Source organism: Homo sapiens, chromosome 20 (genome assembly GCF_000001405.40).
Source record: "Homo sapiens chromosome 20, GRCh38.p14 Primary Assembly".
Lineage (NCBI taxonomy): Eukaryota > Metazoa > Chordata > Mammalia > Primates > Hominidae > Homo > Homo sapiens.
In genome coordinates this window covers 58789403-58807721 of record NC_000020.11, presented here as the reverse complement: position 1 = coordinate 58807721, position 18319 = coordinate 58789403, and the positions used below count along the sequence as shown (strand labels likewise).

Below are 18319 nucleotides of genomic sequence, written 5' to 3'. Positions count from 1 at the left end.
GAGAGAGGCTACAAAGACAAAGATGCCTCCCGCCCCACACTTTTGTAGGTTTTGCTTTTTGAACCAGAAATAAGTGCTCAGAAATCAATGTATAAGATTGAACTTTCTTAAAAACAAAAACAAAACCAGAAACATACTGTGATAATTTGTTATATACAAAAAAAAAAACATCATAGGGGAGGGAAAATGAATTCCTACGAAACAAACCTGAGCGCGTTGCCTTAGGGAAGCCCGGCCTGTGCTCTGGACCTCAGCATTCTCCATGCAGAGGTCGTTTTCTAAGGCTCCCCTGCTTTTCTAGTATTTTGTGACGCTTTGGTGTCTTCCAAATAACAACATGGGGCCGGGCCTGGTGGCCCACGTCTGTAATCCCAGCACTTTGGGAGGCCGAGGTGGGCGGATCACGAGGTCAGGAGTTTGAGACCAGACTGGCTAACATGTTGAAACCCCGTCTCTACTAAAAATGCAAAAATCAGCCAGGCGTGGTGATGTGCATCTGTAATCCCAGCTACTCGGGAGGCTGAGGCAGGAGAATTGCTTGAACCCAGGAGGTGGAGGTTGCAGTGAGCTGAGATCACGCGCTGCACTCCAGCCTGGGTGACAGAGCGAGTCTCTGTCTCAAAAACAAACAGAAAAACACAAAAAACCCCCACAAATAACAACACGGCCATCCGCGTCCTCCAGTCGTGGGCCAAAACTTATTCCAAAGCTCTTGTCCCTTTAACCTTCATTTCCCAAAGCAAAGTAGAGATGGTTTTGGTTGATACATGGACAATTATTATGCTAATGTGTCTGCACCCATTATGATGGATATTTCCTATTTGTGGCAAGTGATAGAGATTTTTCCATTCACTATGGGAGAGTAAAATTTCCTTGTCAAATCACGCATGTAAATAATGAAAGAGCAAAACAATACTAAGAAAATCATAGCACTAGGCCTGCAGATGCAAAAATTCAGAGAGCTGAGTCCCTGCTCGCTGAAATTTGGGGTCCATGGCTCTGCACACACCACCCCGTCTCCCCAGAAAATCTACTTGACTTTCAGTGACCAGGCCTTTTGGATTCCCTGAATCAGTATGATGAACAGAAGAGAAAAAAACTAAGCATTTGCTGTGAGCTTTCAATTTCTCTGCAGAGCAGCAGATCCAGGTGTCCAGTCATCAGCTGTGGAGTGGGGAGACGGTCTCCTCAAAGAACAGGGTGCTTTTTACTTGGTCTGTCCATCTCTGAATAGCAATGATGACCTTCACTTTCTACTGCATTTGAGAGCGTATTTTCCATTCCACTTTTTGTCCATTCTCTGATGTCTATTATGGCTTAAGTGCTGCAAATCCTACACTGGTAAGAGAGGCCCTAATGAGTCCTGGGTTTGGCTGGATCGACACTTGCCTGCAGCCCTTTCTCAGAGACATTGCGAACAGTGCCAGGGATGGGTTAGGGGAGAAAGCTCTCCCTCTGAAGAGCTGTGGTCTGAGAACTGGTTAATAGATGAGATGGTGATGTTGTTTATGGGATACTTAAATGCAAGTGATCTCCAAATTACATTGCAGAAAAACACAGGAGGGGTTCCAGTGGAGCGGGACATAATGGCTTCTCCTAATTGGGGCAAAGAGAATTCCAGCCGTGCGGGCTGAGGGTGATATTTGCAGAGTCACTGTCACGGAGAAGCAGCATCTCACAAGCCCCCGGCTCTCCCATTTGCCTTGGAAATACCCAAAGTGCCTATTTATTTGGAGCTGGCTACAGCATGGCCCTCCTTGCATGCACTCTTTGAAAGACATCTCATTTGTTAATTTTCCTCTTCTAGAAAGCTTGTTAGTCTTTCTACTTTCATGGAGGCTGTGAACCTGGAGCTGGGGAAAGGCAAGCTCCTGGGGAACCTGAGTTTCTGGCTGGTCTGTAGAAATGTTTCTGGAAGGTCAGGAGTGGGCCATCTTTTTGAGGGTTTAAGACAATCCTGAAAATAGTGCTGGAGACTGCTAGAGGTAGAACAGACATGAGTGGACTTTGCTTCAGGGAACCACCTGCAGCTACCCTACGGAAGACAAAAAAGAACCCAAACTATTTGACGTGGTTTGAATGCTGACTGTGCACACCTCATCTCATTGGATCATACAAGGAAAGTGCTGGCATGATCCCCCTTCACAGGTGGGCAGAGAGAGGCTCTGAGAGCTTGGGCGACCCACCCACAGCTACACAGACATGGGACCTTGCAGATGGGGACTCAACCCCAGGTCTGACTCCAGAGGCAGGTTGCCACCCCGAGAGGCATGAGGGACTCTAGAGGGGCCAGAACCAGCCCCAGGGTGCCTGAGGAGGGGCGAGGGCTGTCCACAGCTGATTCCAGAAGACACTGCCCATGACGGCTTGTTCAGAATGCACGGCCACATTGGAGAGGGGCCTGGGCATGTCCAAACTGGGGGTCATTTTATGTCTCATCAGAGGAGAGGGTAGTGTGGTGGGAGGAAGCTGGAGAGGAGGCTCATGGAGATAGAGCCCTGCCTCTGTTGTCCAGCGACTCAGTTCTGGCCCAAGCCTGCACCAGCCACTACAAAGCAAACAAAAGCATCCATCCAGGGAGGGGCTGGGCTCCCTCAGGGGACTTCTCCAAGCTCTCCTGGGTGCAGACGGAGACTCCCAGGGAGGTATTCTGGAAAAGGCAATCTGCTCGTCTTCTGGTGTCGTGGTTTTGCCTCCTCAGCTGGGCCAGCACCTGTTCCTGCAGGTGGTTGGGATCCACCGCACACTCCTGCCCTCTCCCCCTTCTCTGCGCAGAAGCCCCTGGCCCTGCTCTCCTTCCACTGCAGCACTTAGTTCTATAACACATTCCTGGCCTTTGCTTATCATCTCTTTGTTTGCCTGCAGTGGATTAAGTCTAACTAAATGAAATCGCTGCTCTTGCAGGTCAAAGACAGCCACATACTGGCGATTGTGCGTGTGTTCTTCCGTATTCCATTCTGCGAGGATGGGGCTCTCCTTGATGCCCTGCTGAAGTCTGACAGCTAACACAGCGACTGCCCCCAGAGTGGCCCTTCAAGAAGCGCTGTGGGACGAGTGGATACAACTGGCCATTTGGGGGCTTGGAATGTCAACTTCCTGGGCTGTCAGCCCCAGAGACAGAACATATTCTAGGTGATTCTGGGAAGACAGGAAGCCTGCAGACTCTAAGGTACTCCAGCTGTCCTGCAGGGTCCCTCGTGATCCAACCACGCATGGTCCCAGGCACAAGAAGGGGCGATTGTCAAGCCTTCACACTGCCCTGCTAATGGTGGGCGTCCAGGCAGCAGAGGCAGAAGCCTAGGAACAGTGTGAGGCCATCTGCCCCAGCCCCCCAGGACGCTTCCTCCTGCACATGCGTGGGAGCCTGGAACCCTTGCCCACTGCCCACACTGGAGGGAGTGGGTGTGGAGTGAAGGGCTGGGGGCAGGCGCCAGTGACGCAGTGGGCCCAGTTGGCTGCGTATACCCAAAGATGACCGTTTTATATATACATCAGTGTCTAATGAAGATCGCAGGTGAATGTGAATGGAACTAATGAGAAAATAATTATCCAAGCCGCGAAGCCATCCAGGCTCTGGATGTTGTGATTTTGGTGCTAATGGAAATGTGGCAAGGAGGGCGGTGACTGGAAGGAGCGGCCACTTGTGCTTCTCTGCACTTGAAGTTTCTGGTCCCAGAAAGTTCCCCAGTGGGGGAGAGTAGAGGGCCAGCCATGGAAATTCACCCCAGCCTGGCCCATCCCCAGCCCCAGCCCCACTCCCTTTAATCCTAAGTGGAGCAAATGGAAAGAAGTTCACCTGGGGGTCGACACTGGTGCCTCCTGAACTCAGCAGACCAGGAAGGGCTGCGGTCGGAGGGGAGAAGGGCCTGTGGGGGATCAATTCCTTCCACTGTCCAGGCACTTTAGGATCAGGTTGAAACCCCCTCCTTTCAGAATCTGAAAAGCGCTTGGTCGGGGAGATCGCCCGAGGAGGACCGGCAGGAGGCAGCCGGGGCCATGGCCTCGGAGGTGACGTCTGGGTTCCTCTTCCGAGCCCTGCCGCCATGTTCCTTGCTCTCAGGTAAGGCCACTCGATTGTCTTCCGAGAGAAAGGGACATTCCACCAACCGAACCACCATCCATGCCCAGAGATTTCAATACCTCCAGCCTACTTGGCGGGTTCACCTATTGTTTCCCGTCCATTTTGATGAGGCTGCAGGGGAAGATAAGGCTATAGGCCCGCCCCCTCCCAGCCCCCTTCCCATTTCCTGGAAGCCAGGACAATTATGGGATAGAAGAACTGTACCCTGGTGACCTCCCAGCATTTCTAGGGGCTGGTGGAGTAACACAGATTGCAAATTCAGGTCATTTCCAAAGACCCCAGGTACATTTCTTGGGGATCTAAATTGCAACTGAACTTGTGTTACCAGAGAGGAAAACCCATCTTCTTGTTCACTCTTAGCTCCAGCCTTCAGGTTCAGCCTTGGGTCTACAAATTACCCCCTGTGAGGCAGCAGCTAAGTTAACGGGCCTAATTTAGCATTTTCTTCTCCTTGGCGGGTGGAGAGCGGGGAGTGTAAACCTGGCCATTCTGCTACATAAACTTGAACAACACAGGGTGCCAAGCCCTGTCCCAGACTTGCTGGTTTTGAGCTTCCAGGAATGGGGTTCCGGCATCTGTATTCTTACTAAAGCACCCCATCCTCCAAACCAGCCTTGGAAACGCTGGCTTAAGGATAATTCCAAAATGGATTATTCATTCAAAAGGTTTCAGGGGAGATTTGAGGTTGAATGGTGAGCAACCGACTTGATTTGCATGAGGGTGGGGGGTGAGAAGTTTTCGACTACCTTGAGACTTGCTCTCCAAACGACTTGAGGCTGTAATTATACATGCAAAATGAAGCTAACGTTTCAGAGAAATATCTGGAGAATTGAAGTCGGAAGAAGCACATTCCTCTGAAATACCTAGATAATGAAAGAAAAAAATATATTCATTGCATAAATTGCTCATTAATTCACTCCTCTGTGGGGGCACACAGCTTAAAAGCAGACGCTTTGATTAATCCAAGCTGTATTAAATCCTCAAGATGCTTTTTTTTCCCTCTGTGCCTGGATCTACATATTTCTTTCCTCTAAAAAATCATAATAAAGCTGTCCTTTTGCAAAAAATGCATTTCAGATTTGGCTTGGCAGAATGAGCCCTGTAGTTGGTACAATCAATTTGGGTGCACCTTTTTTAAGTACACATTTTAAAATCAGATGCATTCTTTTCAGTTCACTGGAAATGCTCATTTTTTTTTCCATCGCATTTCAAAGTTACATTATGTGTGGCTAAGCGAATAACATCCAACACAATAGCACTTCAGAAAGACTGAGGAGGGGCGCGGTCCCAATCAGGGAGAAAGCCAGGGAAATGGTTAATTTCAAAGACAGGCAACTGATTGGGGAAAAGAATCTATAGAATTATTTATTTCGTTAAAAAAAAAAACCCCGAAAATTCAAAAACCACTTGGAAATAACAAGCATCTAATCCTTGCAAGTTGATTTTTCAAGGCCCTCTTAATGAAATCTCAGCATATCTGTTCCTCGCTCATGGACTGCGGGGCTGTCTATGGGATCGTAGACTCAGCGCACTTTCTCTTACTCCCTTAGCTGTTTGATGCAGGTGCGATGGATGATCAATTGTCTACCTGGCTTTTCTGCTTCTGATTCCTCTGCTCCCCAGACCTTTGGCCAGTTCCATGAGAGGCCAACCCCACGTGGAAAGCCTCTTACAGGTGAACAAAATCATACAAGGAACTTCCATTATCTAGTGATTTTACAAAAGAGCCTTTTTATGTCGCTGGCTTGATCCAGTAAGAGTTTCCGCAGTATCTTCCCAGAGCTCAGTAGTATACACTTTGTAATGTCTTGTTTTACAAAGCTTATGGAGGAGAATGGAAACGTTCTGTATTAAAATAAACAAACAAACAAAAAACCACAAAAGTCTCTGTAGTAAATAGGAAAGAGGATAAACATGAACGATTTTGGGGTACTTCAGGGATATCCTTTCCATTCAGTGAACACACTGACCTATTGTTCTAATCTGTTCATTTATGGAAATGGGCCTCAGATTTGGGATTTTGCAGACCAGTAAAAACAAAACAAAACCAAATCAGGAGATTGCCACTTTTTTTTTATTTTTTATTTTAAACAGAGTCTTACTCTGTTGCCCCGACTGGAGTCCAGTGGCATGATCTCAGCTCACTGCAATCTCTGCCTTCCGGGTTCAAGCGATTATCCTGCCTCAGCCTCCTGAGTCGGTGGGACTACAGGCATGCGCCACCACGCCTGGCTAATTTTTGTATTTTTAGTAGAGATGGGGTTTCGCCATGTTCACCAGGCTGGTCTTGAAGTCCCGACGTCAGGTGATCCACCAGCCTTGGCCTCCCAAAGTGCTGGAATTACAGGTGTGAGCCACTGTGCCCAGCTGCCACTTTTTATTTTATCAAGAAAGGGCATAAAAAAGCAACCACATATCATAAAAAGAAGAGCATTTGAATTCCCTAAGAGCAACATAAGCAAGAAGGAGCGAATGTCAGGAGCGATTAATGAATGTATTTATTCCACCAATGTTTTCTGGATGCCTCCCTGTGCCGGTGGCATCCCAGGCGCGTGGGTGCTCAAGGTCCTGCCCGGGGACAGCCTTTCCGCTGTGTGAGTGTAGCTTTGTAATAGGCTTGCTCTCTGCTTACCACTTGGCTGGCTTCCCTGTGGAATGAGTGACCAGGGCCAGTCCCGTCCTGAGCCGGCGTGGGGGCCCTGGCCTGGGGAGGTCTTGCTGTGCTTGATAGCGCTTTGGCAACCACGTGCGTGTTCCTCCCTGTGTCAGGAAGTCACGCATATTCTCTGGGCGATGGTGTGACCGCGCCACAAATCCAGCATGGCTTCCGCCATGGAACCTGACAGCAAATAGGCAGTGAGTTCCACCACAGCACACGAGCGGCGAATGAGCAGACAGTGGACGGAGAGGGGAGTGATGGGAAGCAAAACCGGACCCACTTCTCTTCCTAAGCACCCCAAGAAAGTCACTACCCATCTGGAAATCCTGACCCAATGACCCAGTTGGTGCCCACAACAGGGCCTGGCCTCAGAAACCCCTCCCATGCTGCATGGACCCCCTGATCGTTCATTCCCCCTCTTTTTCCAGGAAGCACCAAGCACCTCCTGCAAGCCGTCCTGGCATCCTCTTCCCCAGAGGGCCTTTGGCTCCGAGCCCTCGTCCGCAATGACCACTTTCACTGCCCTCTACCACAGCTTTGGTGCACAGACCAGTGAGCTGGAGGGCTGTTCTGACTAAATCATCAGAAAAGGACCGTGCCAGTACCAGCCCTGTTCCTTCCAGGAAAAATGTCTTCTTAAAAAACAGCACCCCGCCCCCGCCACTGACCTCAGGGATTCCTCAGCCGCTTATGCAAACTCACTTGAAAGGAGGTCTCTGGGCTGTAGCAGCAGAGAGGGTGGCTGGTGCAGGGGGATTCATGATGCGAGGATTTTGTAGAAAGATGTTCTAGATCGGGGTGGGCAAACTCGGGCTTTTGGACAAATCTGGCCTGTCTGCTAAGAAAGAAAAAAACATACATATTCCTTTTCTCATAGATATATATTTCTTTTTCTTATATATATTTATACACATATATATGTGTGTATATAGAATATACATATATATACTTTTTCATACACACACACGTATGTTTTGAGACGAGGTCTCATTGTGTTTCTCAGGCTGGAGTGCAGGGGTACAATCATAGCTCACCTTAACCTCAAACTTTTGAACTCAAGTGATCCTCCTGCCTCAGCCCCCTGAGTAGCTGGGACTATTGGTGTGTGCCACAGTGACTGGCTAATTTTGTAATTTTCTGTAGAGGTGGGATCTTGCTATGTTACCCAGACTGGTCCCTAACTCCTGGCCTCAAGCCATCCTCCCTCCTTGGCCTCCCAAAGCATTGGTGTCAGCCACCACGCCCGGACAAGAATATCTTTCTTAGTACGCAGAAATGACTCTGGGAACCCAGATTTGAGCTTCTCATAATATTTTCTTGGGACCCAGCCACGTCTGCTTGTGTAGTTTTCATCTACAGCTGCTTCTGCTGAAAATATGTACTATCAGTTGGGTTCAGTGGCTCATGCCTGTAATCCCAACACTTTGGGAGGCTGAGATGGGTGGACCACCTGAGGTCAGGAGTTCCAGACCAGTCTGGCCAGCATGGTGAAACCCCATCTCTACTAAAATACAAAAAATTAGCCTGGCGTGGTGGTAGGCACTTGTAATCCCAGCTACTTGGGAGGCTGAGGCAGGAGAATTATTTGAACCTAGGAGGTGGAGACTGCAGTGAGCCGAGATCACGCCATTGCACTCCAGCCTGGGCAACAGAGCAAGACTCTGTCTCAACAACAACAACAACGACAAATGTGTACTATCAGGTGCTTTACGGAACAAGTTTTCCAAGTCCTGGTCTAAATTCACTGATGGACTTTCAGAGGGCTCCTTGAATTCTCTGGGATTGTTTACAAAGTGGGACTTTTCCAGAAGAAAGTCCACAGTTTTCATCAAGCTCTCAAAGGGGCCCCAGTCCGCAAAGCACAGGGCTGCTAGACTGAGCAAATACAAATTCAGGACCCCGACCTCCCCACCGCCCCCACCCCCCGGTTCACTGGAACTTCAGATAACTGGATGACTTTTTAGTACAAGTATATCCTATTAGATATTTGGGACACACTTATACTAAAAAAAATAAATAAGCCGGGTGCAGTGGCTCATGCCCAGCACTTTGGGAGGCCAAGGAGGGTGGATCACTTGAGGTCAGGAGTTCAAGACCAGCCTGGCAAACATGGCAAAACCCTGTCTCTACTAAAAATACAAAAATTAGCCGGGCGTGGTGGCGCGCCTGTAGTCCTAGCTACTCAGGAGGCTGAGGCAGGAGAATTGCTTGAACTCAGAGGGACTCAGAGGGTGGAGGTCGCAATGAGCCAAGATTGAACCACTGCACTCCAGCCTGGGCCACAGAGTGAGACTCTGTCTCAAAAAAAAAAAAAAAAAAAGGAAATTCATGGCTTATCTGAAATGTCCAGTGTAACTGAGTGTCTTGTATTTCATCTGCAACACAACCAGAAGAGTAAGAAGGATGAATTCCTAAGTGTCCCCTTCTCATGACCCTGCTTGCACTCTTGGGCTGACCCCCCTTTCAACAAGGTGATGGAACTCCCCGCTCACTCCTCCTGGGCCCCTCCCTCCAATGTTTCTTGAACCATTTGGTGGTCTAGTAAGGAACATGAAGTTATACTTATTTCCTCTAAACTTATGTTTGTATATTTTTATGGCATAAGTGCTTTTCTGATTGCAATTGAAATCCATGCTTATTCTAAAAATGGAAATCCTGGCCGAAATGGACAATAAAGGAAGGGAAAGTATTCCATGGAGGAGCTGCCGGCTGCCACCTGATGGCCATAGACTGTTTGGGATGGGGCTGGGTTCTCCCGTGTCTCCCCAGCGCGGGATGTCTTTCTGAGCACGCTGGCTTCATTGTCTTCTCCGTGTAATGATGTATTGTAGACATCTCTCCAGAGCAGAGCACGAGCTCCTCCTCATTCTTCTTAACTGCTGTGTCCTATTCAATTGATGGCTGCACCATCGTTGACCTACAGGTGAACCTGACACGATCCATCTCCGCACCATTGAGGCACTGGTCCTCTTACTCTGATCAGAGGAGTTAAGAAAATCTAGTATTGCATTGTTATTCTTTTTATCAAAGTAAGACATGTACATAATTTAAAAGCCAAAGAGCTCTGTAGGTTGAGGATGACAAATCCAATCCTCAGCCCCACCCTCTCCAGCGGCTCCTCCTTGCTGCCTTCCCAGCTGCCGCCTGTGTCATCTGCCAGCATGTTTCTAAGAACGTGCTTCGGTGGCTGTCTCTCGATTTATCCGTCCCGGACATTCTGCACTGAGCTCCTTCCCTGGCAGTGAGGGGTTTGCCTCCTTAGACCCCATGAAGAGCCTCCCTCTGAAGCTCTTGTCCTCTGCTGTCCTCAGGACTCAGCTGAGAGGCTGCTCTCTGGCCTCCCCAGCCTCAGGGGCTCCCTTCCCAGGACCCAGTCACACTCGCCCTGCTACAGGGCTTGTTCTTGGCTGGCCATCCTTGCAGAGGGCGGGGGCTGCCTCTGCCCTCAGTGGGGCGTGGCCTGAGGGTTCGAGGAGGCCGAGGAGGAAGGCAAGTGGGCAGGCAGGAGTGAGGACACGGGGCTCTCTGACCTGCCGATGGCCAGCCAGGTGGACGGAGGCCCTTCCCACCTCCTGCAGAGAGCTGTGGGCCTCTGCCTCTCTCAGTGTGGACCTAACAGACCTGAGACCACAGCACGGCTTCTCTTGCTTGGGAAAACCCGAATTTGCTCAAATAATTCCGCCACTGTCTGCTGAGTGCCAGGCACAGTGCTGGGGCTGGGACGAGAAAGGCCCTGCCCACAGCCTCGCCCTGCGGCCCAGAAAACACTTGTAAGGCCGGAGCCCAAGCCGCCATCTTTTCTGCAGGTGCTGTTTGGGAGAAGGTTCTAGGACATCTTGGAATCGTTAGGTAAGCAGGGAGCCTCGGGAATGAGGGTGGGCCCTGGACAGGTTACTGTGGGTGGGTGTTGGGTGCATTCAGACCCACTCAGCTCCTATTTCTTGAGAAGCTCAGGGTTGCCCAGTCCCAAGTGAGCAGAGCAAGACCTGGCTTTCCCCAGGGAGGCTGACACCTGGGCAAAGAGGCAGGACCCACGTGGGAAAGACCAGGGCAGTGCCGCAGCCCCCAGTGTCATGAAAGTGCCAGAGGAGTCACAGAAAGGCCAAGAAGGGGCTCAGAAAGTGACCACCATGATACGGAAAACACATAGCCAGCATCCTCTGTGGCCTGCCACACAGCCCTCACAAATCTACCCATTTAATCTCACAACAGTGCTCCTGATGGGGAAAACGAGGTGTGGAAGGGGCAGGTGTCTGGCCAGGCTCTCACACCTTGTAAGTGGCAGAGCTGGGAGTCAAACATGCCAGGGGGCTCCAGGACACATGCTCTGCTAACTGCACGCCGTGCTGTTCTGCTGTCATTAGGAGGAAATTATAACAGGCACGTTGACGATAATAGTGTTGATAATGCTAATTTATCTACAGAATTCTCAGCATACCCACAGGAGGGAGGGAGAGAGGAAGAGATAGGAGGAGAGGAGAGGAGAGAGGAGAGAGAACGAGCCATGGTGGGAGGGAGAGCACCAGGCTGCATAGCCCCCACACAGACAGGCAGCCTCTCCCGGGAGGCTCACAGGTGTGTGCCTCTGTCCCGTCAGGCTCAGCCACGTGGATGCAGGGAATGCTGTGCACCTGCGGCCTCCAGACCCCGGAACGGCTCTTGTGGGCCTCATCATCTCCAGGCTGAGCCATAAGCTGTGTCCTCCTGGGAACACAGACTTTCTCTTCCAACATCATGGGCCATGAGGAGCAAGAGGTGGACGGAGAGGTGGAGATGGCACAGGTAGGTGGGGTGGCGGGACAGCCTTTTATTCCCGAGGCGTGTGGGGACTACATGCTCCACAGAGTGCTAGGAGGTGTTTGTAGGTGGAAAAAAAAGGGAGAGAGAGAAATGTCAAGTTCTTCAAAGTTAAAAAAGAGTTCTTCCGGCAGGCCTTGTCAGGGCCTTTGCAGGGTTGATGGGCAACGAGACTCCCTCCACCCCCTGCCAGCAGGGGAATGTTGCTCCTGCAGGTGGTAGTTTTGTCTATTTCTGTTTGTGTCCTGGGCACCTGAGCCCAGGCCTGTAGTAGCTACTCGATACATGTAACAGGAAGAAAACCTGGCCAGTGTGCGGATAGGGTTCCAGTACATGGTGAGGATTGAGCTCCAGGGACTCTGCCACAGCTGGCCATGCCCACGCATTGGGCGCACGGTCCTGAGAGCCAGGGTCAAGGGAAGGGACTGTCCCTGTGCTGCCAAGGTGCCCAGAACACTCCACACACTGGTGCCTGAGGCTCTGCCATCTGAGATTCAGACCTTCAGCCGAAACGTACACACGTATGCACATAGGCCATTTAAATGCAGAGACCCATCAAAGGACCAGGGAGATTTTTGTTGGTCTTCCTTAGTTTGAGGTGGAAATAGAGATCCAGATAGAGGATAGATCTTTCCAGAGTTCCCAAGTCCACCCTCCGGTTCGGCATTTTGCTGGAGTCCTCTCAGAACTCAGTAGCACTGCTGTGCTCACTGCGGTTCCTCCAGCGAAGGTCGCAGCGTGAGGTCGGCCCGGGGAAGGGCGTGTGGGGCAGGGGCCAGGAGGACTCCAGTTGTGAGTTCCAGCTCTCCTCTCTCAGGGAAGTGGCATGGACACCACTTACCCACATGATGTGTGACTGCACACAAGTGCTGCTAGAACTGGAAGTATCCACTGGGGCTCTGCCACATAGACGTGGCTGCCCACCCACATGGCTGACCTCCGTCTCCAGCCCTCTGGGATTTGAGCCCAAGGCCCCCGCCATAAAGCATATTGTCAGCATAAGCGATCCGGGATGGCCCAAGACCCTCAGTTAAACAAAGACACTCTTATCAGGCAGGACATCCCAAGGGCTTAGCGGTCACCTGCCGGGAGCAGAGGCCAGCTCTCTCTGGGCAAGGTTAATGCTTCACCACACAGTCACCCGCTGTCCCGAGTTTAGAATCCTGTAACCGTCAGCAGCTGACCCAGCCTGGGAGGTTCTGCCTGAACACTTTGATGGCTACCTGGGCCCAGGAGGGGCCCCTGGGGAAGGAGGCTGCTGCAGGACAGCCGCGGGCTGGGGGGCAGGATGCCAGCAACAGGCTCGGGTGACCTTACGGCATCCAGAGGCCCAGCCTGGGCTAGAGGGACAATGACAATCTGGTTTGATTTGTCAAGTGCTGAGATTTGCGCCCTGGAAGTGTAGACTCTCCTCTGGGCCCACAGGACCAGGGAGGCCGAGAGTGTGCTCTGTGACCTCAGCGAGCCGTTCCCCCTCTCTGGGCTACACAGTCTGCTCCCCTACGAGGCTGAGGCTGGGCTGGCTCCGGGCAGATGCTCACTGCCATTAAGCAGTGAACTGTTGATCCTTCGGGGTTCATCTCCAGATTCCAAAATGATCTGCCCCCCGTTTTTCAGGCCGGGGAAAGGCATGGGGACTCTTTCTGGCTATTTTTCACTTCTGACTTTTCCCAGGTTGGTGAGAGTGACTCTGAGGATGATGTCACCAGCTCTTGGTCGGAGAACGCTAGGAGGCTGAGGGCATGGGCAAGGACTTTGTCCTAAAGGTCACTGCCTTCATTTTGGGCTTGGAAACCATCGTGGAGCCTTTCTTCCCACCACGTGGGAGGGCCTGGTGACCCTTCTCCTGGGCTGGGCGGGTGCCAAGAAGGTTCCTGTGGTGGGGCCAGCGTTGGGCTACATGATGGGAGGGACAGACACCCGAGCGGCTGGAGCAGGTCTGGGCACTGTGGGGAGGCATTGAGGGAAGGGGCCGCAGCTGCAGCGAGTCCAGCCGAGGCCTGCAGGCTGAGTTCCCCGGGCACAGCGGTGATGCCGAGTCACAGTGAGGAGAAGGGGAGGGAGAGTGCACTTCTGCTCAGTGCTGCCGAGATGGGGTGCCACCTGCCATTAGGTCTTGTTGCTCTTCAGAAGGAGGGACAAGGAGCTCCTGGAAGTGGCTCAGGCCATCCCAGGGAAGCCCAGGCTGACCTGCAGGGTCAGCCTTGTCCCGGAGCAGGAGGCTGCAGTGCTCCTGGGTGTGTGTCAGTGGTCACCAGTCTGTGCAGGCTGTTTTCAGAGCCAGCTTTTCCTGGCTGGGTCTCAGGGCGCATGGTCAGGGTGCGGGGTGGGGAGGGCTGCCAGTCACATGGGTGGAAGCTGTCTCCCCAGCGATGGGCTCCCGTTCTGTGGCCTCAGCCTAGGCTCCTGGTAGACGTGCCATCGGTCTCTGAGCGTCGTGGCTGTTGGTAGTCTCTGTGTCTTCATAGCCATCTTCACCACCTGGCGTGCTTGTTCCTCTACCAGCTCCCCTTCTTCCAGGACCTCGTGCCTCGCAGTGACATTGCCACCCTGCAAAGTCCCCTTGGTCATTACCGCCATGGACAGTGCTGGGCTCGGCCCCCCTAGTGGTCTGCGGCTCACTAGGAGGCCAGGGCCGCATTGGATATCCCACAGAGGGGTTAGCCAAGCCCTCTTCTCCTGATAGTTCTTGACCGCCTGAGTGGATGGGTGTGGGCGACTGGTGTATACCCCTTCCCATGTCTCAAAAGCTAGGACAGAGGTGTAGACAGCTCAGGAGGGGGTTAGCTTTGGGGATAAAATTCAACCCATACAAACCTCAATTCTGTGCCCATCATCACGTTCTGCCAGAAGGAGAGAAGGCAGCGTATACCTCCATGCTTGGCCACCCGTTGTCATTCATTCATCGATCTACTACACAGTCTGTCACTAAGGCCCAGGTGGCTGGGGACATAGAATGCACAGGAAACACGCGGCCTGGTTTGGACTTTTTCTCCTCCAGGCTGGCACCTGACACCTTTCCGAAGGTAAGGGAACTAACAGTTGGGTGCCAGGCACTGAGGATGCAGCAATAACCAGGACAGACGGGGCTTGCAGCCTGATGATGGGGGAGAAGACGGGGCTTGCAGCCTGATGATGGGGGAGAAGACGGGGCTTGCAGCCTGATGATGCGGGAGAAGACGGGGCTTGCAGCCTGATGATGGGGGAGAAGACGGGGCTTGCAGCCTGATGATGGGGGAGAAGACGGGGCTTGCAGCCTGATGATGGGGGAGAAGACGGGGCTTGCAGCCTGATGATGCGGGAGAAGACGGGGCTTGCAGCCTGATGATGGGGGAGAAGATGGGGCTTGCAGCCTGATGGGGAGACAGGAGTTAACTGGATGATGCAATGAGTCCCATAGCAGAGAAGGGGCAGAGACCACACAGACAGCCCCGAAGCTGGCCCCGGGGTGTGTTGGGGGAAATGGCCATCTGAGGAGGGCTTTGGTCTGAGACAGCCAGGGGGATCCATAGTGTGCCCTTGCCCCATCTCCATTCCCCTTCCCCGTGCCTGGCCATCTCCCCTACCCAGGCAACGGGTGGGCTAGGGCACACAAGGCTCAAGTGATGCTGCTGCCACCAGGATGGGTGCCAGACCTGAGGTGTTCATGGTGGCATCTGTGACTTCCTGGTTGGCCTTCTGCGCACAGGCTGCTGGAGATGATCGCATGCATCAGGACCAACCGCAGTGTCCTGGAAACTCCACTGCCATCCAGGCTCTGGCTGGCAGAGATGATAAACCCTTTGATTCTGCTGCTGTCCTATTACACACTGGTCCTCCTGCTGCCTCTGTGGGCCCCAGATAGCTGGGAGCATCTGTTCACCTTCCCAGCCCTGCAGAGGAAAGCAAGTTGATGGGCCAATTTCTACTAAAGTGTGAAGGACTGATACTTGCTTCCTAGGTTTCTCTTCCTGTGGGTACTAAACAGATCGAGTGTGATGGTTTGGAGTGGGAGAGGGGAAGGCTAGGGAAGTGTGAGAGTTGCCTTAGAATTTTGAAGAGCTGTCGCACAGCTGAGGCAGCCAACTTGCCTTCACTTGGCTCTGGGGAACAAAAGGAAGGTAGGAGGGTGTAAGTTACAAAGAGGCAGGTTTTGGCTTAATGTGTGAAGGAATTGCAAAAAAAAAATTACAGCTGCTCACTGACAGAGGCATAGGTTCCTGGGCATTCGACCCATGCGAGGCCTGGGACGGCCTCTCTGGGAGGTTGTCTTGTGATGAATTCAGAAGCCCCTGGGAGGTTTTACCAGGTGTGGCTTATATCAGGGCTTGAGCTTGGACCGCAGTGGTGGGAGCCAGCACGGCCGAGGAGCAGAGGTGTCCTTTTACTTAATTAAAATGAAAAAAAAAAAGTAACACCTGATTCAGTTATTGGAAAACTTTAATGCTTGTTTGGAACAGCCCAAATGTATGAATCTGTCTTCCACTTTACATTTTACGAAATCTAAGTACAGATCAAGTGTTTCTGATGAAAATGCAGCATCTGAATTGAGATATGCTGTAAGAGCAAAAACACACACCAGATTTTGAAAACATGGTATAGAAAAAAAGACTAAATATTGCAATATTTTTTGTCTCCACGTTGAAGTAATCATGTTTTGGATGTTTTAAATAGCCACACGTGGCTCAGGGTCCCGCCCCTATGGCGGTGAGCCTCTCTGCTGGGAATCCTGGAACACAGCTGAGATGTTGGAGAAGCGCTTCCTGCTCAATGGCCCAGAGACTTGCAGCCTCAGAGGCAGAGACCCAGAGGCAGGGTTTTCTGGAGGCAAGTAGCCTCAATTTAAAATATTCTACTCTGCGGTCTCTTCTTCCTGTGGAGGGCTTTTTTATACGCCAGTCAGTCTCACAGGGGACTCTAGAGAAGGCGGAAGATTTAAAAATCTGTGTTTTCCTCGAGGAACAGGGGGAGATGGGGGTGCACCTCCCAAAGTCACAAAGCAAAAGTGAAGACCGCGAGCTGCGCTCTGTGCCGTGGGCCTCAGGCAGGGAGGAAGGCCAACTGAGTACACCCTCACCTGGCTCTGCACAGCCACGTGCCACGGCAAGCACACACTTTCTTTTAAAAATAGCGTAATAGTAACAGCAACAGGAGGTCAGTTTATTGAGAGTATCCTCCGCATCAGTGCTTGACATGATCATGCCCTTCATTCCATCGAGGGAGTGTCGCCTGCTCACATTACAGCATTCAGTGGCAAACTGGGATTTGAACCCATGCAGTGTGACACCAGAGTTTCCGCCTTCACCATCTGCTGCGTTGTCTCCTTAGCAAGTGGAGGGTGGGGAGCCTGCTGTGAAACGTGTGCAGGGTTGAGTTAAACCACCATGGAAATTCCAAGCTCAGCGAGCCAAAGTGGTGCCGGTCGGCAGCGTACCTGCAGTGCTGTGCTGTGGCCAGCACACTCCTAGTACTCAGCAAGTGCTCAGTAAATGCTTGCTCAATGAATGAGGCTTGCCCCGAGGAGCTAAGCAAGAAGCCTGCCTCCCAGTGCAGGGCATCTGGCACCCGTGCATCATTCATTGCTTTGCCCAATAAACGTCATGCGGAAGTGGTGGAAGTGGTTCGGGCTCACAAATGCACCCTGGGGACTGGTTGGCAGGCACTACTCATCTGCAGATAGGGGGGGCTGGGGTTTCCAGAAGCAAATAACTTGCCCAAGGTCACAAACCCAGCTTCCCTGAGCCTTGATGAGAAGCTGTCCATCTTGGAAGAAACAGTCTGTATGAATAATTGTCCAAACCACTCACGCCAGGGTGATTATACACCTGCTCACCTTGGTGGCGTGGAGCCCATGCTTCATCTTGTATCTGTTTCTGTGCACAGCCCCATGATGACACCAACACCCAGGCCCAGAGGGACCCTGGGATGGTTTGTAATACAGAGAAAGGAAGTCTGCAGACAGCCAACTCTGCTCCCCAAAGTGAGTGTAAACTGAAAACATGGCTCACCTGGGAAACCTCTCTTCTCTTAGCCCATCACAGTGGGATGCCTTCACCTTCCCAGTTCAGCTGCTCAGAGTGGAGTCATTGCTTTGCACTTAGCTCCAGAATTGCTCCAGAGCTGCCTTGCATCTGTATGCAGAGCCCTGGAGCAGCAGAAGGGCTTCTGCAGGTCTTTAATCCCTCCCTCCAACCCCCCCACAGTGCCTACCACGGTGCACTGGACATGGGGCATATTTAATCATGGCTTGCTAACAGCTTGTTCTACTGTTAATTTCACAGCTGGCTCTAAGAGGAGTGGGCACAGAAGGATATAATTAGTATATTATAGATGACCTCAACTAATTTCCTCCCCCATTAAGCCAGGTTAGGACCTGTCTTCGTAGTGCCACCCAGCATAGAAAAGTTAAAAAATAAAATCTGCTAGATTCGTTTTTTAAAAAAAACCCAACAACAATCACACCTGTTTGTTCCTGCCTTCAGGTCACTTCCCAGGTGTTTGCTCTCAGCGTAGGAGCCACCTTCACACCCAAGCAAGTCCAAGTAGGACTGTGACCCTGAGTCATGCCATCCCGGAGACCCTGTCCTCCATAATGGGTATGGGGGGGGGCCCCCCTCCCCACAGCTGTGACTGTTTTCATATTTTATCCGAATAAGAACCTTATTGTATGATATTCTGATGAGCTGGGAACTGTGTTTTCCTGTCCAATAGGTTTAAGAGTCTCCCTCCGGCAAAGCCCTGTAGGTGATATATGTCCACACTTTATTTACAGGCAGGCAGACAGAGCTCCTTGTTTCTTAGCC

The 18319-nt window shown here is 51.7% G+C and overlaps 2 annotated features.

The window, feature by feature from the left end:
- Positions 1725–2426: an enhancer, noted in NCBI's record as "H3K27ac-H3K4me1 hESC enhancer chr20:57380351-57381052 (GRCh37/hg19 assembly coordinates)". NCBI's record gives its function as "activates a minimal SCP1, AML or CMV promoter by ChIP-STARR-seq in primed H9 embryonic stem cells {active_cell/tissue: H9 hESC(primed)}" and the evidence as "EXISTENCE:reporter gene assay evidence [ECO:0000049][PMID:30033119]".
- Positions 3833–4536: an enhancer, noted in NCBI's record as "H3K4me1 hESC enhancer chr20:57378241-57378944 (GRCh37/hg19 assembly coordinates)". NCBI's record gives its function as "activates a minimal SCP1, AML or CMV promoter by ChIP-STARR-seq in naive H9 embryonic stem cells {active_cell/tissue: H9 hESC(naive)}" and the evidence as "EXISTENCE:reporter gene assay evidence [ECO:0000049][PMID:30033119]".